The sequence below is a fragment of the Homo sapiens genome, chromosome 5 (assembly GCF_000001405.40).
Source record: "Homo sapiens chromosome 5, GRCh38.p14 Primary Assembly".
Lineage (NCBI taxonomy): Eukaryota > Metazoa > Chordata > Mammalia > Primates > Hominidae > Homo > Homo sapiens.
Genome location: NC_000005.10, coordinates 78075790 through 78103739, shown reverse-complemented (window position 1 = coordinate 78103739; position 27950 = coordinate 78075790). Strand labels below are relative to the sequence as shown.

The 27950-nt window shown below is 38.3% G+C and overlaps 1 protein-coding gene across 3 annotated transcripts in view; it reads left to right on the top strand.

Annotated features, from left to right (window-relative positions):
- AP3B1 (adaptor related protein complex 3 subunit beta 1) overlaps nucleotides 1-27950 on the top strand; it is a 294177-nt gene that overhangs the window by 190959 nt on the left and 75268 nt on the right. For 2 of the 3 annotated variants that reach the window (NM_001271769.2, NM_003664.5), the window contains exons 21-22: nucleotides 2715-2787; nucleotides 14241-14347. In NM_001271769.2, coding sequence (NP_001258698.1) covers nucleotides 2715-2787; nucleotides 14241-14347 — 180 coding nt within the window. Of the gene's footprint in view, nucleotides 1-2714; nucleotides 2788-14240; nucleotides 14348-16072; nucleotides 20438-27950 lie in introns of those variants that run through there. The other variant, NM_001410752.1, reaches the window with a different exon arrangement.

The window sequence follows — 27950 nt, the reverse complement described above, 5'->3', positions numbered from 1 at the left end:
ATAGAAACAAAATGGAGATTTGAGGATGATGAATTGATAACTAGGTATTTTTTGTGGTGAGATTCTAAGATCAGTTACTGTTGTCCTTATAAAAGTCTAATACAGTCACTCAGCTGTTAAAAGCCTAATCCTCTATTTAAAAAAATATACAAAAACAAATTGTCTATCTTTCTGCCTGATCTCTTCTCAAGTACTAACACAATGGAAACAGTGGGTGATCTGTCAATGTGTTTGGTTTGTCGATGATGGTTTTGTATAAATATTGGGAGGGTAAGAAATAAAATCGCACAGTAAAATATGATTTCATCTGCCTTTTCTCTGCAGCTCCATGGCTCATGCTGCGGTGTGAAATTCTCATTTTACACACTTTGCAGGCGGAGCACATGAATTATGCATTGAGCAAGAAAAATCTCCTGCCTCAAGTCCTATATGCATTTACCCAGGTTCTGTCTCTATTACCAAGATGAATTGCAAATGGAGAAATGTTTGATGGAATAGAGCTCTTAACTTCTTCGTTTAGAATTCAGAATTTTATTTTTATAGTAGATCCTTTAAGTATGAAAATGTTTTGAACTTACTATGGATTTTTTAAAATGAAAAATGAAATATAAGAGGAATACCAAACACATCATGAAGCATTTTATAGCGTTGATTCAGAATGCAAGGGTTTTCCAATTCAGTAGAAATGACCATTATCTATTGCTAATGTTATATTTCAGTCACTGGTTATTTGCTGTTCTCAGAAAGTCAATGAAATTCTGTCCTTTTGAAAGCCTTTTTTCTCTCTGTTCTAGGCTTCTAATAAGAGATTATGCCAATTTCACATGCAGCTCTGTTCTGTGTTATATGTGACCTGATATGTATTTAATAGATATTGTTACACACTCTTGGCTGTGAAGTAGAAATTAAGGTATAGACTTGCCTTCAGCTTTAACTTTATCTTGATTTGATAGGTTTCTAATTTTTCAGGTGGGGAGGTTACAGTTCCATAAAGACAGTCATGCACCATTGTAGCTTATAGGAAGCTACACCCATTGTGCTCAGCATAGCATTTTGATAAGTCACATGATGGTATGCTCTTTTTGTTATATGTTCTTTCTTCACAGGAATGATATTCTAGTTGAGACAGCATTTTCATTCTGCACTTGTTTTCATTTACTTGCAACTTTTAAATTTTAGCTTCAAAACTAATGTTTCTTCTATTTTTTTCACCATCTTAGACATTGTTTACTCATTTGAGAAATGGAGAGAGGGACAAATACTGTTTCGTTCATTTTTAAATAAGGAATGAAAATTAAAACAACTAGATGATGTGGAGTGTTCAGTGATAAAAATAATTACTTTGAAGAATAAAATTAGTGCCTTTTTAAGTGTATTAATAATGTATATTATTATGTGGTCCTTGAAGTTTCTGAGTATCAGGACAAGGGAAAAAACAAGTGAAATTTAAATTATTTTAAAATGTTACCTATGTATAATTTTACGTAATGCTTTTGTTCATGTATGTGCACTGTTGTAGGAGCTCTAACACTGTGTAAACTTTAAATAGTGATAAAATATATTTTGCTTTAGTGGTACCGTCTCGTGGCTAGAGGAATACTTCAAAAATATTTATTAGCACATTAGCAATAAGCTATAGACTTTTGGTAAATTATAAGTTATTTGAAGGCAGGACTATATCTATCTTGGCTGTTATTTCCATTGCTTGGCACAGAATCTAATATATATTTAAAATTCTATACATACCTATTGAATGAATGAATGATTAAATAAACAAAAACATTTTAGTAGAAACTTTAGTTTTGGTCTGTGATTGAGAAAATTTAATGTAAAAAATAGTATAGATTAGAAAGATAAACTTTGACTCAATTATATTTAACGCCCTACTCTTTGTTGGCCTTTAGTTGTTTGTAATGCACTTAATACTGTTTTCTTTTTAAAAGATTTACAAATTTTTTCTGAATATCTAACCAAACTGTGAACAGTTCAGGCTTAGGGGCACTGTATTCTAGTTCATGGATATATACATTTTGTAAGTACAGTAGACCGAATAAGCAAATCTCTGCTGGGGGAAGCCCTAGTTATATGCAGATATGTTTTTGAAATATTTATTTTCTCAACAAAACAGTAGATCAAGTGAGTGAGTCCTTTCAACTCTAAAAAGAAAGAGCCTGGGAATGTCATTTATAGATTTTAATGAATATCTTTGGCAAAGAAGTTTGATACAACCCAGTATAGAAACATAAAATATCTAGTACAATGCCTGTCACAAACTATATCAGAAAAGGCTGACCTATCACAAGCCCATCAAAAATATCTGAGCTATGCATATGTTATTTCTTTTTCTTAAGTAAACCTGTTTAAAAGTTATTTTCAAGAATATTTGTGGACTTTCTACCAAAGAGCCACTTTACGTTTTTATGTTAGCAAGAAGTTGTCCGATTGTAGAATAATTACATACCTTTAAATTTTGTTCTGACATTTATAATTTTTAAACACAAAATAGTTTAAGAGTTTGCATAGTGGGTAAGAAATACTATATGCTAATTGAGACAAATGTTGATTCAGGAAAACATTTTATATAACCATACAGAAGTTTAATTTGTTGGTACCACTAAGCAGAGGAAAAAAAAGTTTGTTTTGGAATATTAAGGACTACTCCACAGATTTTTAAAACAGAACGTGTGATAAATGAAATATTTGTTATTTTATAGGAGAAAGAAAAGAAAACAAAGCAAGATAGAACTCCTCTTACCAAAGATGTTTCACTTCTAGATCTGGATGATTGTAAGTATTGTAATTTAAAATATTTCTTCTGTGTTTAGTAAGAGTATTTTTTATTTTTATAGTACCTTTCATTTACATGTCCCAAAATATATCAATATTTATTGTGAAAGACTTATAGATGAATAAGGCAAGAAAGTTTTGGAAATCAGTGGTATTTGTTTCTTTCATCTATTCAGCATATCACTTCATTATCACATGAACAAATATAGATGGCCAAATACAAGTACACAAAATTCATTTTAAAATCTTTTGCTTTAGTAATTTATACTTGTTTGCTAAATAGTCATCCATACCTTATAACTTCTACATTGTGAAATGTGGATTATGGGGATTGACACATGTAACTTAAGGAGGTAGAGGATTAAGGAATGTAAATAAAAATGGAAAGGACATCACCATCTTCCACTTGGCACAATTTCAGTAGGAATGGAAATGGGTTACAAAGCCTTTGGAGGCCAGTTTGGCTATACCTCTCAGTCTTTTAACTGCAAAAAATCTTTGTCCCAGCAAATCTAAGAATTCAGAATCCTACAAATATATTCACCCAAGTGTACAAAGATATATGTATTTACCACCTCCCCTTAAATCCTCCTGCATAGTGAGAGAGAGATAGTGGTACTTTGTTGCACTAGGAGAAGAGTAACAAGAAGTGAGATTTCATGAATATTAAACTACTATCATTTTTGATAGAGTTTTTCTATGCTGAGAGTGAGTTATGTTTTAGGTTATCTCATTCTGTCATAGATCTGTTCTGTTTATACTGTTACCTGCCCTGTCCCCAGTAGCCATGGCATATACTTAATATAGAGAAATTAAAATATATAATAGAGAGAAATAACAGAGAAACTAAAAATAAAATTGGAGTTAAATTTGAATCATGTTTTACACATTGGCTAAGATTTTGAGGTTTGGTATCATCCAGTGTTGCTAAGATTTGGAGAAACAGAAGTACATGTTTTTGATAGGAATATAAATAGGTACAGCTCTTTGGAGTCATTTTAGCAATATCTATCAAAACTTAAATTGCACATACCCTTTCACCTAGCAGTTCTTCCCCGCCCCCCGAGACGGAATCTCACTTTGTTGCCCAGGCTGGAGTGTAGTGGCACTACCTCGGCTCACTGCAACCTCCACCTTCTGGGTTCGAGCAGTTCTCCTGCCTCAGCCTCCTGAGTAGCTGGGACTACCATCACGCCCAGCTAATTTTTTGTATTTTTTTTTAGTAGAGGCGGGTTTCACTGTGTTAGCCAGGATGATCTTGATTTCCTGACCTCGTGATCCACCCACCTCGGCTTCCCAACGTGCTGGGATTACAGGTGTGAGCCACCACGCCCCACTGACCTAGCAGTTCTTTTCCAGAAATTTATCCTACTGATAAACTACTGATAAAATCAGATCTTATTTCTTTCTTGTTTTAAACCCTTGAATTTAATGGCTTAATTTTGCATTTAGATGAAAGCCCATACTCCTTTCCCAGGTTTCTCAGACTGTAGATGATCTGACCCCTGTCTTCTTGTTATCCACATTTCATCCTACTCTGTTTTTATGCATTTGTCACACATACCAGGCTCATTTCTGCCAAGGGCCTTTCTACTGCTGTTCCCCTGCTGAGAACAATTGACTGATCCTTACTTCCCCAACTCAGAAGTCACCTACTCTTACACACTGTCCTAGTCCCTTTGAGCTGGCATAACAGAATACGTTAGACTGGGTAATTTATAAACAGCAGAAATTAGTTGTTCGTAGTTCTGGAGGCTGGGAAGTCCAAGATCAAGGTGCCAGCGTATTTGATGATAGGTGAGGGCTAGCTCTGCTTCAGAGATAGTGACTTCTGTTTCCTCATGTGACAGAAGGAGGAAACACCATCCCTCATACCACTTTTATAAGGGCAATAATCCCATTCATGAGGGTAGAACCCCTATAACCTAATTACCTACTAAAGGCCCCACCATAGTCTGGATTAGGTTTCAACACGAATTTTGGAGGGACATAAATGTTCAGACCATAGCACAAACCTTCTTGTTATTCTTGTTATTCTTGTCATTCTTGTCTTCATGGCATTTTTCACTATCTGAAATTACCTTAAAATTTTGGTACTTGATTATTGTCTCTTTCTCCCAACTAAGATGTAAGTTCCATGAGGACAGGGTCTCTGTGTTGCTCACTGCTATTCCTAGTGTACAGAGTGGCTCCTGGCAGTTAGTGGGCACCCAGTAAATATTGCTTGAATTAATAAAACATATAAGGGCATATACAAAAATTTCATTGCAGCATTGTTCAGTGGTTAGCTCTGGCCTCCTTGTGATGTAGGACTAACCTGGGAACAGACAAGAATAAGACTTTCATTTTATATTTTGTATCTTTCTGTGACATTTGAATATCTTACATATGTATGTTTGTAACCTTCATAATTTACAAAGTTTAAAATTGTAAAAGAATAACAGTAAAGTACATTTAAAAGGGAACTAAGAGTAAATGTTACAAGGTACTAGAGTGTACTAATTACAACTTTTTCTTCTTATATTCAACTCTGGATTTCCTGGCAACTACGGTAAAAAAAGAAAAACCTATAAAATGACATAATTGTTATAGTTCCATTCTATAAAAAAGTATATTTTTATATGTTGAGATACAAGCTTTTTTTTTTTATTTTTTATTTATTTATTTTTATTTTTATTGATCATTCTTGGGTGTTTCTCACAGAGGGGGATTTGGCAGGGTCATAGGACAATAGTGGAGGGAAGGTCAGCAGATAAACAAGTGAACAAAGGTCTCTGGTTTTCCTAGGCAGAGGACCCTGCGGCCTTCCGCAGTGTTTGTGTCCCCGGGTACTTGAGATTAGGGAGTGGTGATGACTCTTAACGAGCATGCTGCCTTCAAGCATCTGTTTAACAAAGCACATCTTGCACCGCCCTTAATCCATTTAACCCTGAGTGGACACAGCACATGTTTCAGAGAGCACAGGGTTGGGGGGTAAGGTCACAGGATCAACAGGATCCCAAGGCAGAAGAATTTTTCTTAGTACAGAACAAAATGAAAAGTCTCCCATGTCTACCTCTTTCTACACAGACACCGCAACCATCCGATTTCTCAATCTTTTCCCCACCTTTCCCCGCTTTCTATTCCACAAAACCACCATTGTCATCATGGCCCGTTCTCAATGAGCTGTTGGGCACACCTCCCAGACGGGGTGGTGGCCGGGCAGAGGGGCTCCTCACTTCCCAGTAGGGGCGGCCTGGCAGAGGCGCCCCTCACCTCCTGGACGAGGCGGCTGGCCGGGCGGGGGGCTGACCCCCCCACCTCCCTCCCGGACGGGGCGGCTGGCCGGGCAGGGGGCTGACCCCCCCACCTCCCTCCCGGACGGGGCGGCTGGCCGGGCGGGGGGCTGACCCCCTACCTCCCTCCCGGACGGGGCGGCTGGCCGGGCGGGGGGCTGACCCCCCCACCTCCCTCCCGGACGGGGCGGCTGGCCGGGCAGAGGGGCTCCTCACTTCCCAGTAGGGGCGGCCGGGCAGAGGCACCCCTCACCTCCCGGACGAGGCGGCTGGCCGGGCGGGGGGCTGACCCCCTACCTCCCTCCCGGACAGGGCGGCTGGCCGGGCAGGGGGCTGACCCCCCCACCTCCCTCCCGGACGGGGCTGCTGGCCGGGCGGGGGGCTGACCCCCCCACCTCCCTCCCGGACGGGGTGGCTGGCCGGGCGGGGGGCTGACCCCCCCACCTCCCTCCCGGACGGGGTGGCTGGCCGGGCAGAGGGGCTCCTCACTTCCCAGTAGGGGCAGCTGGGCAGAGGCGCCCCTCACCTCCCGGACGGGGCGGCTGGCCGGGTGGGGGGCTGACCCCCTACCTCCCTCCCGGACGGGGCGGCTGGCCGGGCGGGGGGCTGACCCCCCAACCTCCCTCCCGGACGGGGCGGCTGGCCGGGCGGGGGGCTGACCCCCCCACCTCCCTCCCGGACAGGGCGGCTGGCCGGGCAGAGGGACTCCTCACTTCCCAGTAGGGGCGGCTGGGCAGAGGCGCCCCTCACCTCCCGGACAGGGCGGCTGGCCGGGCGGGGGGCTGACCCCCTACCTCCCTCCCGGACGGGGCGGCTGGCCTGGCGGGGGCTGAGCCCCCCCTCCCTCCCGGACGGGGCGGCTGCCGGGCGGAGACGCTCCTCACTTCCCAGACGGGGCGGCTGCCGGGCGGAGGGGCTCCTCACTTCTCAGACGGGGCAGTTGCCGGGTGGAGGGTCTCCTCCCTTCTCAGATGGGGCGGCTGGGCAGAGACGCTCCTCACCTCCCAGACGGAGTCGCGGCCGGGCAGAGGCGCTCCTCACATCCCAGATGGGGCGGCGGGGCAAAGGCGCTCCCCACATCTCAGACGATGGGCGGCCGGGCAGAGACGCTCCTCACTTCCTAGATGGGATGGTGGCCGGGCAGAGACGCTCCTCACTTTCCAGACTGGGCAGCCAGGCAGAGGGGCTCCTCACATCCCAGACGATGGGCGGCCAGGCAGAGACGCTCCTCACTTCCTAGACGGGGTGGCGGCCGGGCAGAGGCTGCACTCTGGACGCTTTGGGAGGCCAAGGCAGGTGGCTGGGAGGTGGAGGTTGTAGCGAGCCAAGATCATGCCACTGCACTCCAGCCTGGGCACCATTGAGCACTAAGTGAACCAGACACTGTCTGCAATCCCGGCACCTCTGGAGGCCAAGGCTGGCGGATCACTCGCGGTTAGGAGCTGGAGATCAGCCCGGCCAACACAGCGAAACCCCGTCTCCACCAAAAAAATACGAAAACCAGCCAGGCATGGCGGCGCGCGCCTGCCATCGCAGGCACTCGGCAGGCTGAGGCAGGAGAATCAGGCAGGGAGGTTGCAGTGAGCCGAGATGGCAGCAGTACAGTCCAGCTTCAGCTCGGCATCAGAGGGAGACCGTGGGGAGAGGGAGAGGGAAAGGGAGAGGGACAGGGACACAAGCTTTTTAAAAAAATCAAGTTTTTAAGAATTGAAATGAAAGTTTTTTTGAATTTTAAGGGAACTTTGATCCCAACCTACATTTTTTAACTCAATATAGGATATAGTGTTTCTCTTTGTTTTTAATACCCAAGTGCTATTTCTTTAAAAATCTTTCATAGTCCTGCTTTTGTCAGAAACGACACTTGAAACTCTCTTGTTAACAAGTCAGTTCAGCCTGTGTTTTCTGGATTGTCTGCTAAGTGCAAGGTACTTTAGTAGGTGCTGTAATAGATAAATAGAATTTAGTCATTCCCTTCCAAAAACTAAAATCTAGTCAGAGACACAGATAACAGGACAAATAACTATTGCATACGAGAGAAAATAGAGATGCAAAGTATAGTGAAGAAACAGAGAGGGAGATGAAAACCCCTCTTCAGGGTTTTCATTAACCCCAAATTAAAAAACTACAAAAACCTTGTGAAGGAACCATGATCTGAGCTTAGAGATAAAGACAAGCAGAGTGCCAACTTCACTGTATGCCTCCTATTAGCCTGCAATGGTTCTCCATTGCCCATGGCATGCAGTTTGTTGCTCAGATACTAAAATGTTACTCTCCAGTGGCTTTAGTTCTCAACTGTGAGAATTAGATTAATCTTGAAAGAAGGCCAGACACATTCCCTGTGGTTTATCTAAGAGGCACATCATAATCCACACAGGTTGTTTGCTAGGTACACAGTGCATACCAGGAAGACTGCAAGTACTGAATTTCTTCATTTCTTCATTCAGGAAATGTTAATTTAATACTTGCTGTGATCTTTGTAATCTGCTACATACTGGAGATTCTAAATGAATAAAATATTGTCCCTACCCAAGGAACTCTCAAAGTGTAATGGGAAAAACAGATAAACTGGCAATTAGATTGCCGCATTATAGATGAAATGAGGAGAAATGCACAAAATACTGTTCAGTATCAAGGTTCCTAATCCACCTAGCGGTATCAAAATTTAACTTTTGAGTTGAGTTTAAGAAAGCATCAGTTGGCCAGGCCTGGTGGCTCACACTTGTAATACCAGCACTTTGGGAGGCCGAGGCGGGCAGATCACCTGAGGCCAAGAGATTGATACCAGCCTGGCCAACATGGTGAAACCCTGTCTCTACTAAAAATAGAAAAATTAGCCAGGCGTGGTGGTGCACACCTGTAATCCCAGTTACTCGGGAGGCTGCAGCAGGAGAATTGCTTAAACCTGGGAGGCGGAGGTTCCAGTGAGCCAAGATCACACCACTGCACTCCAGCCTGGGTGACAGAGTGATATTCCACTACAAAAAAAGAAAAAAGAAAGAAAAAAAGAGTCAGTCAAGCTGTTAGAGGCATGAGGGGAGGGTATACTAGGCAGAATAAAGTTATGGAGGAGGGAAAGAGCTTGCTACTACCAGAAATAATGATTGTCTGTCTCTAAGGCAGCAACCCTAGCAATAGACTGACTCTACTACAAAACAATTTGGTTATTTCTCTTACTATTTCTCTATTATATCTGTTGAGGGAATGTTATCATGAGCACAGGTATTAGTCCTATGCTTTTAATCGGTTTAGTGGTTTCTTTGTGTCTCATTTTATTCATTTGTAATTTTTTTAAAGACTATAAAACTTCCACAGTTTCTTTAGATCATTAAGTTATATGACTCTTTTTCATGGGGGTCAGTTAACAATACATAAGAAAACATTTGTTCTAGGATAATATATGACCTAACAGTCTTTTGTTAGACTTAGAGATATCAATATGCTTTCTATGTTTCAGGCATATTTTATATTCCTGGAAATTAAACAATATATTTTAGGACCCCATACCATGTGCTCTCAGTAGGACGATCACAAATCAGTGATCATATTCTAGTGTTCTTTTATAGGAAATGTAAACCTATGTCATTACATTGTTAGTACAACTGACAGTGAAATATTTAAAAAATCTCTGTCAGCCAACAATAATCATACTTCAAATAAGCCTTATGATATGTGATATCACATTGTTGAGTGAATTTTGGTCAAGGCAGTAGAGTGGAGTCACTAAGAGGACAGTGGAGCAAGCTGTCTGAGTTTCAATCCCAGCTCTGTTACTCACTAGTTGTGACATCTTGGGCAATTTACTTAATCTCTCCATGCTTTAGCTGCTTTGTCTATAAAATTGGGATGGTACAAATACTTTTGGGAGTCATTTAATTCTCAAAGGATGAAATGACTTGATATACGTAAAAGCATTTAGAACTGTGCCTAACACATGATAGGCATTACTGGGTTTAGTGATGATGCTGGTGCTGATGATGCCAATGATGCAGATGATGCAGCAAATTACAAATTAAATAACAACATATTAAGCCATTATGTATTCAGTTTTTCTTATTCTTAAATCTTAAGGCAAAGCTTTGATCAGAAGAATAATTGAATAATTACTGTATTAGATCTACTTTTAGAAAAGAAAAAAGTTTTATAGAAAGTTTTTAAAATAAAAAGAAGAAAATAAAATTAACCTGTAATCCAAACACCCCAGGTTAACATTCTGACATATCAGTTTAGATTCTCTTCATATGCAAATCCCCCCTTCCAAATTGGATTCTACTGAGAAACTGTTTTATCACTTGCTTTCTCCTCTGTTTAAAGTACATGTTCTTAGTTGGTGTGGTGGCTCATGTCTATAATCTAGCACTTTGGAGGCCAAGGCGGGAGGATTGCTTAAGCCCCAGGAGGTCAAGGCTGTAGTGAGCTGCAATTGTGCCATTGCACTCCAGCCTGAGTGACAGAGCAAGACCCTATTTCCAAAAACAAAACAAAACCTACGTTCTTTATAACTGTATGGTTGTCCTTTATCCTGTTAGAACAAATTCTGTTTAACAGATTTACTGTTGTTGGGAATTTAGCTGTTTTCCATTTTTTGCTATCATAATTAGTGAAGTAACATTCATCATTGTAAATATATTTTTCAATATCTCTGTAACTGTTTCCTTAAGATAAATTTCCAGAAGTAGTATTGCTGGAACAAAGACTTTGAAGAATTTGTTTGTCCAAAATTGCCTTTTAGGCTTGGCATGGTGGCTCATGCCTGTAATCCCAGCTACTTGGGAGGCTGAGACAGGAGGACTGCTTGAAGTTGGGAGTTCGAGACCAGCCTGGACAACAAAGTGAGACTCCTGTCTCTACAAAAAGATAGAAAAATTAGCGGGGCATGGTGGCATACACCTGTAATACTAGCTACTCAGGAGGCTGAGGCGGGAGGATTGCTTGAGTCCAGAAATTCAAGGCTGCACTGAGCTGTGATTATGCCACTCCACTCCAGCCTGAGTGACAGAGAAACTCCTCAAAAATAAGTAAATAAAATTGCCTTTCAGAAAGCTTGTACCAGCTTACACAGTATTAATATGAGGGTGCTATATTCCTTGTACCTTCACCAATGCTAGATTTTGTATTTTAAAATTACCTTTTCTAATTTGCCAGGTGGGCATGATATTTCATTTTAACTTGTATACTATGACATTTTTTTTAAAAACCCCATAGAGTCACTTTGTTTTTACACATTACTAATTAAATACTTCAGCACAGTCACCTAGCCTCAGAATTCACTTTAGGGTAAGCTTTCAATGCCAACTTTCATCTTGCCATACCTGCAAACAGATGCATAATCATCTCTTTAATACCAGAGCACACATCTTCTGAAATTATATTAAAACCCATCCTTTTTTAAAAAACAGCAGAACTTGCTTGTGGTGTGAAGTTTCTTCTCTTGTCTCTTGATGGTATTTAGCCAAGCCACAGTTGAAATCAGAGGCTGTTTCTTATTCAGTTTTTTATTCGTTACATGGGCATTCTAATATTTTGAAAGGACAGATGGTGGACGGGTGGGTAGATAGATGTACAAAGGAATGAATAAACATGCATTTAGAACTTACCTGAAAAGTTACGTGTTGCATGGGAAGGCAACATATTATGATCCAAGTTAGAAGAAGCAGTTTCTAATTCTATAGTGGTTCTACCATTCACTTTTTATGACCTTGTCAATATTAATCTCCCTGTGGCTCAGTTTCCAGTGTCTTCAATATTAAATGCTCTTTTTAAGCCTTCTCATTGCCATTGGCTTACTTTAGTCTTTTTCACTTCATTCCTAAACTATTGTAAATTCTTCCCTACTCCCAACCCTGCCTTCAGTCTGTGCATTGTACTGCCATCTGATTAACCATCCTGCAGGACCATATTCATTGTCATTCCTCTGTTTGATCGATTTTTGACTGTTCCCCTTGGTCTATAGGATAAATCCAGTCCCCTTAGTTTTTCAATTTCCTACCTCTCAGCCTTTGTTTATAGCATTCTGTTATCCAACAATTAACTGGCTTCTTTCTTTCCTCTTATTCAAATCTCACTCTTACTTAAAAATTGGACTTCATTCCCTCCTGTTCATGAAGCCTCCTCTTCCACTCCTTCTCCAGTGATCCTTGTTTTGCCCCTGACTCTGTGACACTTGCTAAACTGTACCGGGGTTTTCAGTGTGGGTCTAAGGAAGCCTGGGGGTTTGAAGCTGTGCTTCAGCCGTACTAAGTGAGCGTAGGGAAGACCAAGAGCTCCACTCCCTCCCCATCCAACCTCCAGGCTGCTTTCTCTATTATATATGTTGAGATTTTGTTTAGTGTTTCCTTTGAAATTTTTCTTCTTTGGCCGTATCATTTATGGACTGTATTGTTACTTTTTTTTTTTTTTTTTTGTCAAATACATGTATCTCTTTTTCTTAATTAGGTTTTGTTACTTGAGGATCTTGAACTTTTTTGTCTCTCACTTGCTACCTTTCAGAATAAATATTTGTTGTTAACTTTACGGATTAATATTTGTTCTGCCTTGTTCACTGGATATTGTGAGACTGAAATGAGAAAAAGATGCTTTGAAAAGTAATGTCACAGCTGGGTGTTGTGGCACACGCCTGTAATCCCAGCAGTTTGGGAGGCCAAGGTAGGAAGATTGCCTGAGCCTAGGAGTTAGCGACCAGCCTGGACAACATGGGGAGATCCCATCTCTAAAAAAAAATAAAATAAAAAATAAAAAAAAAAGGCTGGGTATGGTGGCATGCACTTACTCAGGAGGCTGAGATTGCTTGGGCCCAGGAAGGGATTGCACCGCTTTACTCCAGCCTGGGCAACAGAGCAAGACCCTATCTCCAAAAATAAAAATAAAAAAAGAAATGTCAAATTAACTAAATGTTATTCCCTTTAGGGTATTATCTTGGAATGAGAATTTGTTGGAAGCTAAAACTTGACCACATTGTAATGTATTTTATTCAAATGGTTTAGAAACACCAAAAATTAATGTTATTGTCTGTTCACACAGACTAGCAGAAATGCAAACATGTAAAGACACAAATTTGTATTACATGAGAAGTACAGTTATAGAAGTTTGTTCAAGTATATCTGTGGAACAAAGAAGGCACATATAAGCTGTTTGCAGGTGAGCCAGAGAGTGTTTTCCTTTTAAAGGGTAGCTTGCCAGATCGAAGTTGCAAGATGAGCAAGGCAGAGAAGTAGGCAAACAGAGTAGAATATAAAAGGCTCCAAGACGTAGAACAAGATCTTGGGAACTATTATCCCATAGAGCTAGTGCATAACAATGCTGAAATTGGAGATAAGCTGGACCTGAATAGTCCAGTATGGCGGCCACAAGCCACATGTAATTACTTAAATTATGCAAAGTTTAAAATGCATTTATTTAGTCATACTAGCCACATATCAAGAGTATGTTAGGCATATGTGGCTAGTGTCCACTTTATCAAATGTAGAACATTTCCATTAGCATAGGAAGGGCTGTTTGGGCTGGGGCAGACCATAGAGGACTTTGTGAACTTAATTGAGGAGTTGGGCTTTTATCTTGTAGGCAGTTATGAGCCTTTGAAGAGTCTTAAGCAGGGGAGTAACATGACCAGACTTGCATTTTTAGAAGATTTCCAAACTTACAGGTATCAGTTCTCAAGTATATAGCAGTTTTAGAATCAGTCAAACATTTCTATCTAGCACATAGCTTTTGCTGAAAAAGTATAATTACAAGGGAATTAGGTAGCCTGATTAGAGTGGAGAATAAAATAGATATAGGATTTGAACATCTTTCAAGACTTCTAATTCCACTGCAGCATTCTCTTGGAAGCGGTTGTTATTCTTATGATAGTCTGGAAAAAAAATGTTTCTTTACTTTTTTAGGGAGATTACTGGGTGATAAATGTTAGTGATAATGTTATGTGATAAAAATTTTCACAAACTATTACTCAAGATATTTATATCCTTATTTTGTTATAGGATTTGCCATTATGTTTTGAAAGCTAAGACTAATAACTGCCATGACTTGATAATAAGTTGACTAAATCAAGATGTTAAATAGAATTGTCATACATTTATTAATCAAAGTAATTTAATTAGATTTACTAACAAAATAAAAATGTTGCTTTTAATAATTTGAATTAAACGTTCATGCACATTTACTAATTTGGGCCTTTTCTTACAGTTAACCCAGTATCCACTCCAGTTGCACTTCCCACACCAGCTCTTTCTCCAAGTTTGATGGCTGATCTTGAAGGTTTACACTTGTCAACTTCCTCTTCAGTCATCAGTGTAAGTTATTTTTAAAATCCACCAGCTCGGTTTTCTTATGTTGCCATTGTATCTTTTTTATTAAAATGTAAATACTTGAAGTGGATTCTTAGTTTTGAACAGATTCTTCTCTAAGAACAAGCCCAATTTAGCTAAGACCTTTTAATTTTTTAAATAATTTACTCAAACCATTATCTTCTCAATTTTTTTCCCTTGTTGTCCACACTTAATTATCATCTGTATGTTTTTCTCTGGTATTGTTATATATCTGTAACATACAAAGGTTCTTCACCACATTGACGCAGTACATATACCTGAACTGTGCCACAAAAAGTTGTCTACATTAACAGACTTTCATTTCCGTAATCGTTTTATTCCTACCACACTATTTTTTCATAGACTATTAAAAATTCATGACTGTTTTTATTTAAAAGTTCAAGATTTTTTTTTCTGTCTTATTTTTGTACATTTATTTACATGTGTTGGTGTCTTTAAAATTATTCTTTAATGTTATTTATAGAATGTGATGTGAAGTGAGGCTAGAACCTACCTGTCACAAAATAATGCAAAAACCGTCAACATATCATGGTATTTGAAGCTGCAACAACTGTTTATTGTGTTAGCATATTATATCCACTAACTTTTCACTGTAAATCAAGCACGCTGCGCCTAAGATGTATAATCTGTTGATATGCTTGACCTCCTGTTAATTTGTTGTCAGAAATCTGACAGACTAAGAGACAGAATAGTAAGCTTTGATGGGCATAGGTAGCTTCAATAGATCTGGTTCTCAGGGCTGGCAGGGTACTACATGGCATATAACTGATCATCTGAGCTGCCTGGGAGCATAGAGCTGCTTCTGCCAAAAGTGGGAGAAAAGAAGTGTTTAATTCTTGTGTGTTATTATGGAAAAAATTCCTCCTTTAAAGCAAATATGCTATCAGGGCTATGCAATGAAATACTAAAAAAAGCTATCTGCATTTCTGTTCAACATTGGTCACCTCGCTCAGAAAGTACAGGTGAAAAGTTTTAAGCTACAATGTTCTCCTTAAGCATAGAATGAGATTATCTCTTAACCACCCAGAAATGAGTAAGAATGGTATTTGTGATTTTAATTTGCCCTTGTTTCTAAAAGGAAAAGACACATTAAAAGATATGAGGGAGAAGCATTGAAAATAAGCAGTTAAGTCTTTTATTTATTCAGGTAATAAATATTTATTGAGCATTTGTGGTAGTCTCTAAAGAAAAAGTGTTAATCAAAAAATCAATAGTGAAGCAGTTAGTTCCTTGAATGGAACAGGAGGTCCCTAAAACCTTGGTTGGCAGTAAGGTAGTGAATAAATAATAACTTGGGCCCTGATATCAGATGTCCAGGGTGCAAACCCCTGCTTTGCCACTTAATAGCTATGTGACTGTGGGCAAATTGGTACTTTTACACCTCATTTTCCTAAGAGAATACTATCTACCGCATAGGATTGTTATGAGATTAATGAAATAATATATGCAAAGCTCTTAGAACAGTGACTGACACATTGTCATTACTCAGTAAATATTAACGAATATTCTCCAAAGTGATACGATATGTGATAATGGACTCTGAGTGTAGACTCTTCTACTTTATTAATAATAAGAAGAAAGCAGTTGAGATTAGAAAAGCTTGTAGTAAATTTTCATTCATCACAAAGTAATTGACAGACTCACCCTTTTATACTAAGGAAAGTATTTATTGAGATGGTCTCTTCAAAGGAAAGAAAAGCACTCCATCTAAAGTTGGGCAAAAAATGACCGCCAGTTGACACGGCTGAGTGAAGCAGGACCACAACACTCACTCCCCAAAAGCTAACAAAATGATCAAACAAGTAGCGCTAAAAAGAATGACAACCAGAAGTTCACCAGCAACAATAAAATATGGACAGGAATAGAACTTTAAACAAAGAAAATGCTAGAACTCTGAAAAATGGAACGTGTAGAAATAAACTGAATATTCTACTGCAGAATGTCATGGCTCCTAATAGCACATCCAGCCCTCAGAACAGTACTGAGAAAAGAAGATGAATCAACCAGAGTTTAAGCTTCCTCATTATGTGTCTGAATTTGGAAAGAAGTGGACAGAAGACATCAGAGGAAAATAAAGAAAACCCCTCAAGAATTACAACTCCCATATAATGCTGTGAGATCTCAACAAGTCTAGGAGCTTTTTTGGATCCTGAAATGAAGTTCATAGATGATAGAGTACATCTATAATTTTAAAGTCAACATGTTGTCCTAGTTGAATAGAAAAAATAAAAGTAATATATAATAAACTAATATTTTCAATGATATGTAACTGTTTGACCATGACTACACTAGAAGTAGTTAAATGATGCTGGCACTCGTATATAGAACTCATGAATGTGAGAACTATATGTGCAGATTGATATAGGTGTGTTATTCGGCAACGCAAATGCTACGGGTTGTGGTATTTCCATCAGTGACATAATTTTCCAAACACTGAACAGTTTTTCTGCACCAAAGTACTTGCATCCCTGGAAAATTGAGCCTGTTAAAATCTTGCCAAAGAAAAAAAAAACTTCGTATTTTATATGAAATGTTCTAGGATTGAGTAATTTTAAGCACGTTGTCCAACGTGTTTAACGTGTCTAATGAGACAGTTGAATGTTAATAGTTTCATTTTCTCATAGTAGGAAACAGAGCTTTTGTGAGGGACATGGTACAGTCTGTATCGTCAGGATCTGCCCTATTCATTACTACGAACATCTAGCATTCCTGGCCTTCACTCCTTAAAGCTAGTGGCATCTTTTACTGTCCCTCCCTCCGGTTGTGTTCTAGTTGTAAACGTCAAAGCATTATGTAGCAGTGAAAACCACAGGCTCTTGATTCAGACCACCTGTGTTCAAGTCAGAGTTCTGCGCTTTACAAATTAGAGACTTCGGGCAAGCCAGTTTACCTCCCAGTGCCTCCATTATTTTCATCTGTAAAATGATCATGCTACCTACCTCATAGGATTGTTGTTGGTATTAAATGATTAACAAACATGAAATGTTTATGACAGTACCTGATATGTACTAATAACTAAATATTTCCTGTTATCATTTTCATTACACGTACATCATTAGTGCAGCTTTATAAAGGAAATGAAGTGTGACCCAAGAAAACTGTGTTTTCTTCTTACTATTAAGGCTGTACATAGATATGCTGAAACATGAAAATTACTATGGATTCTACTTTAAAGAAAAAAGAGTGGGGATACTGCTGATTGTTGAAACCAAGGAAAGGGTGATTCAAAGTAATAGAATCAGTAGCTATAAAAATTGTGATCATGTGATTGAGTATAAATGATAAAAATAAGAAACCAAAACTAGAAGGTGGGGAAAGATGACAGGATGCATGGTAATTATTTTTTCGATGTAGGTAGGAAAACACTCCGTAATATGCAAAATTGAAACCGCTTTTGTTTTTGTTTTTAATGAAATGCAAACCTCTTAATGATTTGTATATACTCAAAGAACATCTATCTGATGTTTTGGAGGGTTTTTTATTTTTTGGTTTTAATTCCATTTCTTTTTCTTCAAAGTAAGATTATAGTCCCATTCTAAGGGATAATTTGTCTGTTTCTCTGTGTATCTGTCAGTGGTTACAGAAATGTCACGTTCACCATGGTTAACAGTTACTTTAGATGGAATGGTTTCAGAATGACTTGTTGATTGTTTTGGTTCTTTTCTGTAATGTTTAAATGTTTTATAATAATATAATGATAACTTTTTAAAACAAATTATTACTATAAAAATGAGCAAAAGGACTAGAACTGGAAAAATTAATTTATGGTATAACAAATCAGAATAGTGCTTACTCGTAGGAGAATTAGTGCTTATAAGGAAATACAAGAGTAGCTTCTGGGGTGCTGATAATGTTCTGTCTTTTGATCTGGGGGCTGTTACATGGGTGTATTCAGTTTATGAAAAATATCATTGAGCTTTGCACTTAAGATATGTGTACTTTATGTATATTCTACTTCAATAAAATATTTTTAAAAGTGGACAAATGATATAAACACATTATTCATAGAGGAGGAAATATAGATGATAATATGCGAAAAAGGTTCAGTGGTAGTAATGAAAAAATGTAGAATTAAAGAACCATCTTGCCTGTAACATTAGCAAAAATTACAAAAACCAACATCTGTTGTTGCTGAGGTATGCAATGAAGCAGGCATTATACACTGCTCCACTGGTAAAAGTATAAATTATGACATCATTCTGGATGGCAGTTGGGCCATCTGTATAAAAAGCCATCAAAATATGTATACCTTTTGACCAGGTAATCTCATGTCTAGATTCTTCTTCTAAGGAAATAATTAGAATTACACAGATTTATGTGCATGGTTGTTCAAACCTAAATGTCTAGTGATAGTAGTGATGGTTACAAAAAGTATGCAAAAACAATTTAAGGAATTTTGTACAATTATTAAGATGTTTTTATTACATATTTTAATAAGATAAAATATGGTATAATGTCAGATGGAAAAAAGGATACAAAATGTTATATATATAATCTAAATTTTGTAAAATTGTACAATTGTACTGTTTTCAAATACAAGGAAATTGAAAGAGTAGAAGAAACTGCATCATAATTTTAACAGCTTTTCTGAATGATGAGATTATGGATGTTTTATATTTAATTTTCTTCTGCATATTTTTAAATATTTTCCAGATTTTCTCTAATCAAGATGTAATACATCTATTACCCAAAAAGCAATACTTGTAAAATAGAAATGGAAAGCACATATATGAATGACGAGGATTCCTTTTTATTTGTTTGGGTCTTTTTCCTTTCCTTTTCCTTTTCCTCTTCCTTTTCTCTTCTTTTCTTTTTTTTTTTTTTTTTTTTTTTTTGACAGGGTCTGGCTCTGTCGCCCAGGTTGGAGTACATTGGTGTGATCTTGGCTCACTGCAACCTCTGCTTCCTGGGTTCAAGCCATCCTTCTACCTCAGCCTCCTGAGTAGCTGGGACTACAGCCACCTGCCACCACACCCTAATTTTTATATTTTTGTTGGTAGATATGGCTAATTTATTGGCTAATTTTTTAATTTTTGTTGGTAGAGCTAGGGTTTCACCATGTTGCCCAGGCTGGTCTCAAACTCCTGGGCTCAAGTGAGCCACCACACTCAACCAGATTCCTTTTTATTGACCCATCTGATATCTGTCTTTCTAGATCACCACTACTAATTAATTGGGTGATATTGAGCAAATCACTTGGTTTTTTTTCAACTATGAAATGATAGCAAGGCAGATTTCCATGTTTCCTTTTAACTCTGATATTCTATGTGTGTATGAACCTAAGATGGAATTTCAAATTAATGAAAATAATTTCACTGGGATAATTTGAATAAGTTTGTTAAAATAAAGAGATGAAACTTTTTTAGTTTAAATGATGACTTTCTAGTCCATCTATAATTTTTATTTATTCTAGTAAATGTTATTTGTTTTCCTTATGTATATTAGATTTTTTCAATTAACAAAATATTTACAGTGAAACCCAAAGAACAATTGCTTTTTCACAGCAAATATTTTTCTAATTAAAAAAGTCACTATTTGTTCCTATCCTTTTAATTATATATTCAGAACACAGAGATTTTAAAAAATAATGCCTGACAAACATTATTATCATTATAAGGAAAGGCTTTAGTTTTTTTAATAACTCTATAATAAATATTATTTATAAACACAGCATGTTTTAGTCTTGCCAGAGACTGGCCATTGGCCAACAGATAGCTCTATTGAGGGAACATTTTATTTCCTGCTGTAGTATCTGAGTGAACAAACCGGTTAACTTAGTAAATTTTTTTTAATGGATTATTATTTGGTCCTGAGTTTAAATCAAGACCTGCAAACACATAAACATCAATCCTTAAAATGTATGCTTCTTGCAGGGATGAAAAAAGAATAGGGGGAAAAAAGACAATTTTGTGTGTAAGAATAAATGTGAAATAAGAATAACTTGTTCACCTCTGGTATTAGAAATGTTGAGTGAAACTTTGATCTGTTGTGCTTTAAATTACTTTGTATATTTGGGTCACAAAAATTTTAAGTGAATAAAACAGTTAAAGTTAACTATTTTAGTGTATGTTCTGCTTTAACTGGTAAACATCAACATGAAACCTTGACTCATCCTTTGCGTTTTTTGTTTCTTATCAAACTAGTTGTGTAAGAAAATATATTTATTTACTCACTATTTAAGATTATGTTTTTATGGAAAAATCAGAGTCTGACCTTCCTAGGTTAATAGGTTCTCAACGTGGCCGGGCGCGGTGGCTCACACCTGTAATCCCAACACTTTGGGAGGCCGAGGCAGGTGGGTCAGCTGAGGTCAGGAGTTCGAGACCAGCCTGGCTAACATGGTGAAACCCCGTTTCTACTAAAAATATAAAAAATTAGCCTGGGGTGGTGGCGTGTGCCTGTAATCCCAGCTACTTGGGAGGCTGAGACAGGAGAATTGCTTAAACCCGGAAGGCGGAGGTTGCAGTGAGCCAAGATCGCGCCACTGCACTCCAGCTTGAGCAACAAGAGCGAAACTCCGTCTAAAAAAAAAAAAGGGTTCCCAAGGCAATCCCCAAATGTCATAATACCATAATGGAGATATACTATCTGTGATTCTTTAACACCTAATAACAAGTCAGAGGTTTTCTGTGGAAATACACTTTTAGAGTTCCACCTTAAAATGCTAAGAACTCATTTAGAAAGACAGAGTGACATTTGTGAAATGCATTGAATCTGGAGCCCAAAGACCTGGTTTTCACCCTTGCCTGAGCTGTGTTTATTATCATTGTGACTTTGAGCAGTTCTTTGACTTGCGTAAACTTCCGTTTTTTAATTTACAAAATGGAGATAATACTTTTCCCAAACACTTTTTTTGTTATGAAAATCAAATGAAATAATGATCCCGAAAATGTTTGAATTCTATTCTGTAGCTGTAAACCCTGAAATCTAGTCCAATGGCAAAATGAAATAATGATCCTGAAAATGTTTGAATTCTATTCTGTAGCTGTAAACCCTGAAATCTAGTCCAATGGCCGTGGAACAAGTGGAATAGTGATTTGGCAACAGATAATAGATTCAGATTTGAGGATCTTGGCCTGGATGTAGACTATAGGAGGAAGGATTCAGTCAAAATTGGGATTGACAGGGTAGAGAGGCTCCAAGGCCTTTATGTTCAGTAATAACATAGGGTTGATGTCACCTATTCCATTTCTTTCCCTTCCTCCCGCCCTCAAATTGGATACTAGAACTATGCAGGAAAAGCGACTCAGTGAAACAAAAAACATAAGGTCCTCAGGAAGCACCAGGATCTGCAGAATCAGGGACTGAAAAACCCTTATTGTACAGAAAGGATTATTGCTTAGTCTGCCCAGCAAAGTTGGCCATTTTTGTACTGGGCATATCTAAATCAGGCAGAAGTCACTGCACGCCAAACCTGAAAGCTTGTGATGGGATTATAACTGTTTTTTTTTTTTATTGCAAAGAATTCATACTAAAAGTAAATATCAGTTTGCTCTAAAATGTTTGGGATTGATTTCATAATTTTTCTGTTCCTCAGAACTTAAAAGGGAAAAGAAAGTTAAATTTCTTGAGTACCTTCAGTGTCTTACCGAGTTAAGGAAAAAACTACAGATAGTTATATTCCTAAAGTAATGTAAAAGGAGCAGTGAGTGGTACATGCTATTCCTTAATAACAAACTTTTTTTGTTTCCTATATACCTCTTTAATACAACCAAGGATAGTGTTACAGTAATTCACACGTTCTATAAAATAATGAAGTATGCCGGGTGCGGTGGCTCACGCCTGTAATCCTGGCACTTTGGAAGGCCGAGGCGGGCGGATCACGAGGTCAGGAGATCGAGACCATGGTGAAACCCCGTCTCTACTAAAAATACAAAAAAAATTAGCCGGGCGCAGTGGCGGGCGCCTGTAGTCCCAGCTACTCGGGAGGCTGAGGCAGGAGAATGGCGTGAACCCGGGAGGCGGAGCTAGCAGTGAGCCGAGATCGCGCCACTGCACTCCAGCCTGGGCGACAGAGCAAGACTCCGTCTCAAAAAAAAAAAAAAAAAAAAAAAAATGAAGTAATGCTGTGAAAAATAGGCTCGGCAGGAATTTGCACGTCTTGCATCCAAGTATGTCTCTTCCTTGTGTCGTATTCTGTGCTGAAGAAAACATTAGCATGCCATGAACTGAAGCCAAATATCAGTGGGTTAAGCCATCTCTCATCTTGTTCTTTGCCTTCTCTTCTTTAAGACTAGGGAATTGGTTATTGGATAATGCTCCCAAGTCTGGCCAATAATAACTCAAGAGTACCCTGAATCAACATCTATGGCTTTTCCCTAAACCCTGATCTTAGGGCCATCCATTTGTATTTTGAAATGATCAAGCTATCCTTTACTCCAGCTGAAAACTTACTTACCTGATACTTCATCAGGTCTGCTCACAGGTGTATCAAAGAGAGACGGTACCTTTGGTGAAACCATTGTTTAGCTGGTTTTCACTTCATCCAGTTACCAGCCAATCAAAAGTTTTTCCACCGATCATATTTTCATACCATTGATTGTATTAACCTAGTTTAAATCAAATCTAAAATATGTGTGCTTATTACAATTATTGAATGGTTGCATGTGAGGGTTGTTGGGTTTTGTAAAACAGGAAGCTTATTTTTAAAATTTTTAAAGTGGTGAAAAGTAGGCTTCTCTAAAAATTAGTTTTAACAGTGTGTTTGCAAAAAAAAAAAAAAAAAAAAAAAAATTGGAGGCATACCCAGTGGGTATTTCAGAGAGTAATTTGGAAATATTCACTCTAGTTGAATAATGTATTCTCCATGACTCACTAATCGATGTGGCTACACATGAAAACATGCAAGAATGTTCACCGACACATTGTAAGAGCAAAAAAAAAAGAAAAAGAAAAAAAAAAAAGAAAATTGGAAACTACATCTATCACTAGAATAGATACATAAATTGTGGCATGCATATACAATGGAATACTGTGCCAGTTGTTAAAATGAATGAACTGGAAATACCTGTTAGACAAATCTCAAAAACAATAGTAAGAAACATCACAGGCTGGGCACAGTGGCTCACACCTGTAATCCCAGCACTTTGGGAGGCTGAGGCAGGCGGATTGCTTGAGCCCAGGAGTTCCAGACCAGCCTGGTCAACATGACAAAACCCCATCTCTATAAAAAATACAAAAATTAGCAGGGCATGGTGGCACACACCTGTGGTTCCAGCTACTCGGGAGGCTGAGGTGGGAGGATCACTTGAGCCTAGGAGGCTGAGATTGTCAAGAGCCAGGATCGCACCACTGCACTCCAGCCTGGGTGACAGAGTGAGACCTGTCAAATAAATAAATAAATAGGAAAATTACAAAAGAATACATAGGAAGCCATTTGTAGAAAGTATAAAAGTATTTAGAATTATTTAATTGATGGATGCATACATATGTGGAAAATGTTTAAAACCATACTTGCAACTGGCGAACACCAAATCCAAATTCTGGTTACCTCTGATGCCAGAAGCAAAAAGGAAAGCAATCTGGGATGGGTATACTTGTGATTGTCATTCAGATTTTTAAAGTTTTACTCATGATGCTCGATGGGGGAGGGATGTTGGATTTTGTTTTTGTTTTAATCTATTCTTTATACTTCTTTGCCTGAATTATTTTATATACAGGTTTTTATAAATGTGAGCTACATTAAATATATACTAAAATCCAAAGTATAACTAAAATAAAACTATCAATAGTACACTTAATACTTGAGTCCGGGTTTTGTGCTTCCAAATTCTATTCCTTTTCTTCCATATCTTTCTGCTTTCCTTTAGAATTATATACTAAATCAATCTTTGTATATACCGTATGTGGTAAACTCCTTAGAATTATTTAATTAATGAACTGCATTTATATGTCCTGTAAAATCTTATTTGCTCCATGGTAGGTCTTTTGCTTCTTAGATGGTGCAAACTTAGTCCATCCTTCATTCCATGCTTAATTTTCTTAAATTCTCAATTAGAGTTCAGATTAATGAGGGTTTTATTTCTGTAAAATTCTTTTGTAAAAAAGAAAATGTCTTAAGATTCCTGTTCCAAGGAATTATATAAGAAAATTGTAATGAAATAGAAATATTTCAACCCTTTAGATTTTATTTCAAAAAAAAATGTTAACTTATGTTAGCCATGTAGTTGATTGTGGATGGTACCTTTTTAAAAAACATTCAGTAAGAAGAATTGACAGTATTCTAACATGAGTTTAAAGCAGGATTTGCCTTTGGCAAAGCCAGACACAGATGGTCTGACTTTCAGATGGTGGAATACTAGCTGTATTACTTAAGGCTTGCATTTTGCAATGTATTCATGAATATAGTCAATAAAAATTTGCAATACCTAAGAGCTTTCATATCTGAAATCTGTAAGGCAGGTAACAACACATGTTCCCCTAATGTTTATGTTGTTCATAGATACCAGTGAGATTCTCTAGATATTTGCATTCTAACATACATGCAGACTGAAAGGCTTTATTATAGCTTAATTTCATTTACTTAAAAGCTTTATTGAACACAGTATGACTAAATCACTATGCTAGGAATTACAGATAACAGGTTAATAAAACATAGTCCCTTCCTAAGGGAGCTCACAGTTTAGTGAATGAAAAAGACTAGAAAACTTCATTATAGGAGTACAGACAAGGGAGCAAGTAATTCTGCAAAGAGTGCCTATCAATATGGACTTGGATAGCGATATTTGTGTTGGGTCTTGGAGAATGATTGAGTTTACCAACAGGGAAGAAGAGGAGATGCGTATTTCAGCCCAGGGAATGGCCAGATGAAAGAGAGAAGATAAAATGTATATTATGTTTTTGCCAAATTCTGTAGCTAGATATAGCTAGTGTACAAAATGTATGTTTTGGGGGAGAGAGAAGTAGCTACTGGTTGAAAGCCATATTGTGAAACAGTTGAAAGGAGTTCTGAAGATTTTAGAGCAGGTTATTGATAGTGATCAGATCTTTGTTTTATAAAGTTGTGTGAAAGATTAATTGGATAGGAAGAGAACAAAGGAAGAATTTGGTAACTTTTAGGTAGATAACTGAGATTTGCACCGGAATGATTATCTGGATAGTGGTACCCAGTTAACCAAGATAGAAAATAAGGAAGAGGAAAGGACAATGACATTGAAATTTTCTTTGGAACATGTTACTCTGAGGTGCTTTTGGAACATCAAGTTAGAGATGTCCAGTAAGAAGGTAAAATCCATTCTGGATTTTAGTGAAAAATTAGGGCCAACTAATTAGAATACAAGCATGTGCACATGTGTGTGCATACACACACATCCTAAAGCCATCAGGTTATGGGTAATGGTTTAAGGTAGGGGAACAGAAGGGAAACCTTGTGGGTGAGAAGAGACAACTGAAGATGGAATCCTAGGGAACATCATGCTTTAGAAGACAACAAAGAAAAAAGCCAAATAAAAGCAGTGAAAGAAGGAGGTGAGTCATAGAGCAGCGTGTTATGAGGAAACTCACAGGTTACTGAGGGAAATAGTCAAATCATTAATGTAGTAAGTGCTGAACTAGAGACAAATCCACCAAGTTCTCCTGGGTGACAAAGATCTCTTAGAGAAGATATACATATGTAACCTTGGAACTGAGTCTGGAAGATGAGTTTGCCTAGGTGGCTGGAGTAGAAGAATGACGCTCCTAGAAGAGGAACTAGTATACCTGAAGGCTTGGGGTGTGGAAGAACTGGAGTATTGCTGAAACAGTATTTCAATGTAGGGTTTAAGTATAACATGTGTAACCAGATCTGATACTTGAGAAGTATGTTGGTGACGCACTGTCATGGGAAAATTGTAGTAATGATTCCTTAACTTGTTTTCCAATCTTTTTGTGTGCCGGTACATGTAGAAAAGTGGCAATACCTGTAATGCATTCTAGGGTAAACAATGCTGAAGGAGGTTGGAGGCACCCAGTCTAGGAGCTCCAGCTACCACAGACCCCAGTTGGCCTTGGGGATTCATGGGGGGCAGTATCGCAGCACACCTCTGACCCATTTGTGGCAAATTAGTGAGGGAGCTCTGACTTAGCTACCATAAAGATAACAGATTTGATCCTTGTGGATCACAAACCCTAAGTGGAATTTAATTTTGGACAGTACAGGAAGGCTCATTAAGAAAAGTGATCATTTCAAAATGCAAAAGTGGTACACTGAGGAATAGTAAGGAATTTCAAGAACAATCCATGAAACAAACAAAAAGGCCTAATTTGTTGTTGTATGCCTCTTGGAGGTAGCCAAACTCAAGGTTAAAGGCACAGTCCTCCAGACTAAGTTGGCCCAAGATTTCTGACACCAGCTGTAACTTTACGGATTTCCCAAAACCACTCTCTAGTTCAGTAATTTTCTAGAACAACTCAGAGAACTCAGAAAAGCACTGTGCTTAGGATTACAATTTTAGCAAAATGATTCAAATTAGAACCAGCCAAACGAAGACACACCTAGGGCAGATTCTAGGAGGGTTCCAAATGTGAAACTTTTGGGTTACCCTACTGGCATGAAAATCTGGCAATATGCATGGACTATTGCCAGCCAGGGAAGCTCACTGAACCTTGACATCCAGAGTCTTTATTGAGGCTTCATCATATAGCCTTGATTGTTTGAAATATTGCCACATGGTTGAACTCTAGCCACATAGTTGAACTCAGTCTCCAGCCCTCCCCTGTCTCTAGAGGTCAGGCTGATATTAAGTAGCTCAACGCCCCAACCCTCTAATCACATGGTTGGTCTTTCTATCTTGGCCAGCCTTATCCTGAGTTATCTCCTTAGCATAAGCTATCTGAGGGACCTGTCATGAGTCACCTCAGTGGCATAAATTATCAGGTGTGGTCCCAAAGGGCCCACCATGAATAACAAAGACACTTTTATCACTGGGGAAATTCCAAGGGTTTAGAGGTCGCCCCTCAAGAGCTAAGAGAAAGTCCTAAGCCTCTTTAGGTTAGGTCAAATTCCTTACTACACATATGCCAATTAAGTGTTTTATTCATCCAACATGTATTTATTCAGACCAGAATATGAAGCCATGGATATAGTGGTAAACAAGATGGGAAAGCTTCTTGCCCTGAGAAAGTTTATAGTTGACTGGGAAAATAAAGAAAAATTGCCTCAAAGTATGTAATTACAGTATACCAAGTGCTCTCCTTTTTGTAACAGTTTTGCCCATTTGGAAGTATCCGTAGATACAAGTTGTCTTTATTTGTCATTATTTCTCTGGTTATGAACATAAACACTATTATTTGATATTTGCTAAATTCCACATTTCCACCTTTTTTCCTCTGTACCATTATAACTTAAAACCTAAAAGAGTTACTTTCAATATTTGACACAGCTTAAGATTTAGATACCTGAACTACTCTTCTCCTTTAGCAAGAAGTAGAAGGATGATTTTCATAGTCCGTACTCTTCGCCGTTTGCTTTCCTTGAATTACCATTGAGGACCATCACTTTGTCACTTGATGACCATGCCAGGGTGAAGCTAGCATGGAATATCAGTAGCTAGCATGGAATTTCCTATGACCAGCAAAAAGATGACGTTAA